Source organism: Homo sapiens, chromosome 5 (assembly GCF_000001405.40).
Source record: "Homo sapiens chromosome 5, GRCh38.p14 Primary Assembly".
Lineage (NCBI taxonomy): Eukaryota > Metazoa > Chordata > Mammalia > Primates > Hominidae > Homo > Homo sapiens.
This window is the reverse complement of record NC_000005.10, coordinates 99,003,086-99,011,234: the sequence shown is the minus strand read 5'-3', so window position 1 is coordinate 99,011,234 and position 8,149 is coordinate 99,003,086. Positions and strand designations below refer to the sequence as shown.

At 41.3% G+C, this 8,149-nt stretch overlaps 1 long non-coding RNA gene across 1 annotated transcript in view, besides 2 other annotated features; it reads right to left on the bottom strand.

Moving 5' to 3' along the window:
* Positions 570-1,086: an enhancer, noted in NCBI's record as "OCT4-NANOG-H3K27ac hESC enhancer chr5:98345853-98346369 (GRCh37/hg19 assembly coordinates)". NCBI's record gives its function as "activates a minimal SCP1, AML or CMV promoter by ChIP-STARR-seq in primed H9 embryonic stem cells {active_cell/tissue: H9 hESC(primed)}" and the evidence as "EXISTENCE:reporter gene assay evidence [ECO:0000049][PMID:30033119]".
* Positions 5,879-5,938: an enhancer, noted in NCBI's record as "active region_22839". NCBI's record gives its function as "activates an Ori minimal core promoter by ATAC-STARR-seq in GM12878 lymphoblastoid cells {active_cell/tissue: GM12878}" and the evidence as "EXISTENCE:reporter gene assay evidence [ECO:0000049][PMID:35858748]".
* The window catches only part of CHD1-DT (CHD1 divergent transcript), a 75,460-nt gene continuing 74,524 nt past the window's right edge, over positions 7,214-8,149 (bottom strand). The window contains exon 4 of the long non-coding RNA NR_151718.1: positions 7,214-7,334. This is a non-coding gene — a long non-coding RNA (CHD1 divergent transcript). The remainder of the gene's footprint in view (positions 7,335-8,149) is intronic.

Here is an 8,149-nt window from a genome sequence, read left to right as displayed (position 1 = left end):
CTAAGCTGTCATATCCCCTGTGACCTGCACGAATACATCCAGATGGCCTGAAGCAACTGAAGATCCACAAAAGAAGTGAAAATAGCCTTAACTGATGACATTCCACCATTGTGATTTGTTTCTGCCCCACCCTAACTGATCAATGTACTTTGTCATCTCCCCCATCCTTAAGAAGGTTCTTTGTAATTCTCCCCACCCTTGAGAATGTACTTTGTGAGATCCATCCCCTGCCCTCAAAACATTGCTCCTAATTCCACTGCCTATCCCAAAATCTATAAGAACTAATGATAATCCACCACCCTTTGCTGACTCTCTTTTCAGACTCAGCCTGCCTGCACCCAGGTGAAATAAACAGCCTTGTTGCTCACACAAAGCCTGTTTGGTGGTCTCTTCACACGGACGTGTGAGACAAAATTTCTAAGTAACAAAGCATTCACAGTGTGGCCTGACTGCTTCTACCAACCTATGTTCAGATAGAGGAGCAAAGAAATGGCTTAAAGTTGGAAATTATATTAATATGAATGGGAAGCAGAGCATAAAAGTTTGGAAAATTTGTAGCCTAACCATGTAGTAGGAAAAAAAAAAAAGCCCATTTTCAGGGGAAGAATCCAAGTGGCTGTGGAGCAACCACTTGCTAAAGAAATTAGCATGACTGAAGGTGAGCCAAGTGCTAATCTGCAAGACAATGGAAAAAAGGCCTTGAAGGCATTTCAGAGACCTTTAAGGCAGCTCCTCCCATCACAGGCCACAAGGACACTATGCAGCCTGGGGACACAGCTCCCTGCATCTAGGCAACTTCAGCTCCAATCTCTGCTCAAAGGGCCCCAAATACAGCTCGGTCCACCACTCCAGAGGGTGCAAGCCATAAGTTTTGCCAGCCTCCATGTGGTTTTAAGCCTGCAGGTAAACAGCGTAAACGTGAAAGATGCTTAGCAACTTCCCCCTGGATTTCAGCGATATATTGGAAAGCGATGTATTGGAAAGCCAGAGTGCCTGGCAGAAGCCTGCCACAATGTGGGGCCCCACACAGAGAAATTTACTAGGGCAGTGCAAAGGAGAAATGTGGGGTCAGAGCCCACACAGAGTCCCCACTGGGGACTGCCTAGTGGAGCCGTGGGAAGGGGGCCACTATCCTCTAGACCTTAGAATGGTAGAGCCACTTGTGTAGCTTGTGCCCTGGCACCTGGAAAAGACACAATCTCTCAACTCCAGCCTTTGAGAGCAGTTGTGGGGACTGCAGCCTGCAGAGGCACAGGGGTGGAGCTGCCAAAAGGCTTGGGAGACCACTCCTTGCACCAGTGTGCTCTGGATGCAGTTCATGGAGTGAAAGGAGATTATTTTGGAGCTTTAAGATTTAATGACTATTCTGCTGAGTTTCAGATCTGCATGGGCTCTGATGCCCCTTTCTTTTGACCAGTTTCTCCCTTTTGGAAGGCAATGTTTATCCAATGCCTCTACCCCCATTGTATCTTGCAAGTAAATTATTTGTCTTTGATTTCACAGGCTCATAGGTGGACATAACTCATCTCCAGATAAGACTTTGGGCTTTGGGACTTTTGAGTTGGGGCTGAAGTGAGTTGAGACTTCGGAGGACCAATGTCATTTTGGGAGAAGGGATAATTGTGTTTTGAAATGTGAGAAGCACATGAGATTTGGGGTGCCAGGGTGGAATAATATGGTTTGCATAGTTTTCCCTTCCAAGTCTCATGTTAAAATTTAATCCCTAGTGTTGGAGATCAGGCCGGGATGGAGGTGTTTGGGTCATGGTTGTTAATCTTATAGCTTTGTGCTGTCCTCACAATAGTGAATGAGTTCTCGTGAGATTTGGCTATTGTTGTTTTTTTGTTTGTTTGTTTTTGAGATGGAGTCACACAGGCTGGAGTGCAGTGACACAATCTTGGCTCACTGCAGCCTCCACCTCCCTGATTCAAGCAATTCTCGTGCTTCAGCCTCCCAAGTAGCTGGGACTACAGGTGTGTGCCACCATGTTCAGTTAATTTTATATTTGGTTGTTTAAAAGCATGTGGTACCTCCCCTACTTTCTTGCTCCCACTGTCACCATGTGAGATGGTGGCTACCCCTTCAACTTCAGTCATGATTGTAAGCTACCTGAGGCTCACCAAAAGCAGATGCTTGTATCATGCTTCTTGTATGGTCTGAAGAACTGTGAACCAATTAAACCCCTTCTCTTTATAAATTACCCAATCTCAGGTTTTTTTTTATAGCAATGCAAAACTGACTAATACAGTATCTAAGATTATTTTCTTGAGTAAATTTTTGGAAAAGGAATTAGTAGGTCAAAGAGTATGAATATATTTGTATTGACACAGGTTCTTGACATGGGTCCCCAAATTGTTCCTCATAACTGGTTATTCTTATTTGAAATCCATCAGCAGTGTATGAAAAGTGCCTATCACCCATAAGCTTGAAACATTTTAGTATTATGTATTTTTTTTTTGAGATAAGGTCTTGCTCTGTCACCCAGGCTGGAGTGCAATGGCATGATCTCAGCTCACCGCAACCTCCACCTCCTGGGTTCAAGCGATTCTCCCACCTCAGCCTCCCAGGTAGCTGGAACTACAGGGGCACGCCACCACACCCAGCTAATTTTTGTATTTTTAGTAGAGATGGGGTTTCACCATGTTGGCCAGTCTGGTCTTGAACTCCTGACCTCAGCTGATCTGCCGCCTCGGCCTCCCAAAGTGCTGAGATTACAGGCGTGAGCCACCGCACCCAGCCTTGATATTATAAATTTTAATGGCAGTATGATATATAAAATTGTCATACTGGTGTATTTGTCTGTTTTCGTGCTGCTGATAAAGGCATACCAGATACTGGGCGATTTACAAAAGAAAGAAGTTTATTGGACTCACAGTTCCACATGGCTGGGGAGGCCTCAAAATCATGGTGGAAGGGGGAGCAAGTCACGTCTTACATGGATGGAAGCAGGCAAAGAGAGCTTGTGCAGGAAAACACCCCCTTATAATAACCATCAGATCTCATGAGACTTACTCACTATCACAAGAATGGCACAGGAAAGACCTGCCCTCTTGATTCAATTACCTCCCACTGTTTCCCTCCCACAACATGTGGGAATTCAAGATGAGATATGGGTGGGGACACAGCCAAACCATATCAACTGGTCCAACAATATTTTGGATTTCCTAAGATTGCAAATGTTTATTAGTGATTTGTATTTTTGTGGATTTTCTGCTTAGGATCTTTTGTCATTTTTCTATTGTAGTATTAGTATTTTTCTTATAGAATAGGGTGTTAGGTAGACTTTTCTACTCTCTTCAATCTAGGCTTAGACTTAAGCTGAAGTCCAGAGGTGCCAAGTATCCTACATGCTAAAGAAAGACATAAAAATGCCATCAAATTTGTGAACAGAGAGTTTTCTCTACCCTCAAGGTTTACAAAATAGCCCTACAGCATCTTCCCACCCCCATCTTCCACTCCATACAAAGCACACTGCTAAGAAGTAGGAAGAATACAATTCAGAGAGTAGTTATTTTGGCTATTCAAGAACTATTTTTGTAGCATTTTTCTAATCCCTCTACCCATTTCTTGAAGTCACTCCCAGTAGCCAGAAACACAGCTTTTGGTAGTACTAGGAATGAAGACATGACCTGGTGGTTTGAAACTATGCAGGACACATTTAATTAAAAAAAAAACCAGCCCAGGCGCGGTGGCTCATGCCTGTAATCCCAGCACTTTGGGAGGCCAAGGCGAGCGGATTACAAGGCCAGGAGTTCAAGACCAGCCTGGCCAACATGGTGAAACCCGTCTCTACTAAAAATACAAAAATTAGCTGGGCATGGTGGCAGGCACCTGTAATCCTAGCTACTCAGGAGGCTGAGGCAGGAGAATTGCTGGAAACCGGAAGGTGGAGGTTGCAGTGAGCCCAGATCATGCCACTGTACTCCAGCCTGGGCAACAAGAGCAAAACTCCAAGTCGAAAAATAAAATAAAATAAAATAAAAAATAACCAGAAGATTTTGGAATCTGCCCAAGAGTGTGCTAAGGGATGAAAAAGAAATTTCGACACAGCACATTTTCAAACAATAATTAAAAAAAAAAAACTATTTCATTTCTATACCCGAACAAGTAGAAATAACTCAATGATCTATTATACTTATTAAAATAATATAAAGTGCTATTTCTGACAGTGTTAATATGTGTTGAAATAGTTTTCTCAATTTGTCTTTTGCCTTTTATTTAAATTTGTTATTCAATATACTGTGTTACATTAAAACTATTGGCCTAACTTGCACTTTAAATGAAACTTTCATGATTTTGTAACATCATGCTTTGAACATTTGGAAAATATTGCATTACTGAGTTATTCAGACCTTCCAAGTAGTGACACATTTCATTGTACAATAAAATAAAATGACAATCACTAATATCACATTAACATTATTTTTAACATCTTAATTGTGAAGTTTTCATGCTCAGAGTACTGGATGGTTTTCTAAAACACTAACTCTTAGTTGAAAGCTTACATTTTTTTTTTATTGATAACAAAATACTGTCAGTTGTTTTCCTTGAGATGACAGTCTTACTGCATTCATTTTTGAGAAAATGTCTGCCAAATATCCAAGTCTGAATAATCCTAATTTGTCTGTCAATTGTTCTTTCAAGTAAAAATAGTGCCCCATGAAAAAAATCAGCTAGTTTGGCCCACAACTTCATCACACAAATGCTTTTCCACAAGACAAATATTGTATTTTTGTACGCAGCAAAAGTGCTATATGAATGACTTATTTGCCACACAGAATATTTAGAAGCCATGTACTAAAGGGTTAATATTTAATCAAATTAGTTGGGCATGGTAGCATTTACTTGTAGTCCCAGCTACTTGGGAAGCTGAGACAGGAGGATCCCTTGAGCCCAGGAATTAGGGTCCAGCCTGGGCAACAGAGCAAGATTCCATCTCAAAAAAAAAAATTACTAAGTAATCATTTTTACTACCTCATCACTATATTCTTGATGTGAAACTACATTTTTTTCTGAGTCCCCAGTGGCCAAGAATCTTATAACTCAGTACAGTTTGGTGCCCCTGCCTTGATTTGTGCTAAGGAGACAGAGGTTTGACCCAGCATTGCTTTTGCATTATCAGTATAAATGTAAACACAAAGAAAATGGCAAGTAATGTCTTAGTTCTGTTTTAAAAATTGTTCTGGCCTTATAGATCCCCTGAAAGGGTCTTGGAGATCCCTATGGTTTCATGGATCATACTTGGAGAAACACTATTATGTGTAATACCATGATAGTGAATGAAATATTCATAGGTTAATTGATGGTGATGCTGACAGACATTTCAGACAAATAACACAAATTTTAAAGCCAAATTTATCCAAAGTGACAGTATATTCAAGAAAATCAACCTGCCAACAGATTGGTAACTGGTCTCCCCGGGGAATCCTGCTCTTTCAGAGGCTCAGCTAGGCTACTGGCCAGGCAAGCACTCAGCAGTGGCATTAATCAGATCAGCCTTGATGAGAGTAAGTTCATGTTGTTGAACCCATGTGTAATCTCCATTCCTGCTGTCAAGGCCACTTTGTTCATAAGCCCTTGAGGAAGCACTTGTAGATGCAGCTAGAAGCTGAATGTTATGCATACAATGGGTCTTCTTGTCTAGCTGGTAACTGCAAGACTCTTCAGTCAGTGACCTTTGGTAGGAATTCACATGAGACAAATACTCATATTCTGTCCTTATTCTGGGGGCACATACAAATACCTTTTGCCCAGATCTCCTTATCTTCATTCCTCCAGTTGTGTATCTTTCAAGTCATTGAATTTCCAGTGACAATCACTAGCCACTGTCAATATGATCCATATTTTTGGCCATCTCTCCTTCCAGGTGGAGTGGGCAAGCAGACGGATATACTGCTTGAAGTCCTGCTCAGTAGAAGTATTTCATTTCCTTACTATCATTCCAGACCACCTCTGAGTTGGGCCATAATTATGCATCAATTCACTTCTATCTGTGTCAGCATATCACTCAGAATCATATGTAAACCAGGCCTGAATTTTTTTCTTCCTCAGTCAGGGGGAACTCCCCATGAGGTCAGAAGAGTGAGTTGAAGGACAGGCAGCAATGCAATAACAGTAGGTGTCATGAGAGTCTAAACCTCAATTCATGCAAATCACATATTCAGTACCTCTTTGAGCTCAATCTCACACCACTATCACTTTATAATGGGGTTTTGCTGTTGATGTCCAACTTTAGAGCTTTGGGGATCAGATACATCCAGTTCATGACACTCATCTCAGATTGCCTGGTCATTTGATGTCCCATGGTCAGATATTCAATCTCTACCAGAAATGAGTGGCAAGAAAGATGCCATTTCTAAAAAGGTGAATGAATATCTACATTACTTTGTCTTAAAATCTTACAAGCATAGATTGTCATTCTTTATGGGGATTTGCCAGTAGCTCCATGGAACAGCCCTAAAAGTCACAGACCTGCTGATTCATATGGCCTAAATGGTAAAATAACTTGTACTGTAACCTGGACCAGCTTCAGAGTCTTCTTTTGCTCTGAGCTCCATTCGAAACTCAGTAAATGGGCAAAGCAAATCACACAAATTAGACATATGTTGACTCCAGATCCACAAAGTACCCACTTGTTTAATGCTAGTGGGTGGGAGATACATCAAGTTAACTTTTACTTTGGAGGAGAGATCTCAGTATATCTCGAACCCCAGGGACCTTGGGAACCCAATAAGTTTTCATGGGATTTATCTCCTCCCCCAGCACAAATGTGTCTTACTAAAGTTTCCCAATAGATCTATAAGTATGATTTCATAGATTATGTAGCCTGGATTATGACAGAGAGCCGCCACAGAGCTGAAAGTTAACAGTGAATTTTTTTTTGTCTTAATCATGTGACAGCAAATTGCTTCTTGGTTGGAATAGAGTGAATAAAGCATTTGCCAGAGCAATAGCTGCATACTAGGTATCAGAGATTTTGTTGTTTTGATCCAGTAAAGAGACTACATACATAAAAGCAGTAGTATTTCCTGTCACCACCTGATTAAGTTTATGAAAGTTGGCCAGGCACGGTGGCTCATGCCTGTAATCCCAGCACTTTGGGAGGCCAAGGCAGGCTGGTCACTTGAGGTCAGGAGTTCAAGACCAGCCTGGCCAACATGGTGAAACCCCATCTCTACTAAAAATAGAAAAATTAGCCAGGTGTGGTGGCGCTCACCTGTAATCCCAGCTACTTGGGAGGCTGAGGCAGGAGAATCACTTGAACCCGGGAGGCGGAGGTTGCAGACAGCCAATATCAAGCCACGGCACTCCAGCCTGGGCAACAGGGCAAGACTCTATCTAAAAAAAAAAAAAAAAAAAAGTTTATGAAAATCCTCTATCACTCTCCAAAAGCCCACTACCATCATGACAAGCTAAATCAACACTCTTGCATCCCTCAAGACTTTCATGGTGACATTAATCTCCACAGACCTCCTCATTGATGCACTATTGCTTTTGATTTAACATTTCGGTTGATCAGAGTAATTCTAGTGGTTTCTACTTGGCCCTTTTCATGTTAGCCATCATTCTACAGGCAATGGACCCAGTTTGAAGAGTCTGTTGGTTTTCAAGTGTTTTCTTGGGAACTACAAATTCAGAAATAAAGAGAATTACCATAGGGCCCACTGTGAGAAGAAATTAGACCAAAGCTCCATATAACTTCTAACATCTATAAATCCCCACTCTGACTATTTGGTCAAAGACCATTTGAATTCTCCACGAATTAGCATCAACTCTAAGTCTGTCCCAGTAATCCCAGAAAAATCTGGATGTTACCCTCTTTCCAGTACACAGATAACCTATCAAACAGCCTCTAGTGACTTTCAGGAAGGCAAAGTGGAAAACTTACAGTATACTCTATTGGTAGAATTGTAGAATTGTTCCTCAAGGAGACAACCTTGCTCCTATCTCAAAATCGGATGTCTATTCCTGAACCAGTTCCACAGTGTTTCTATTAATATAGCTTTATAATGTGTCCTCAAAACTGATAAAGTAATTCCTAATATTGTCAAAGATTATTTTGGCCATTCTTATACATTTGCTTGTCCTAATGAATTTTGGAATCCATTTGGCAAAGTACACACATGCATATACACACACACACATTAGC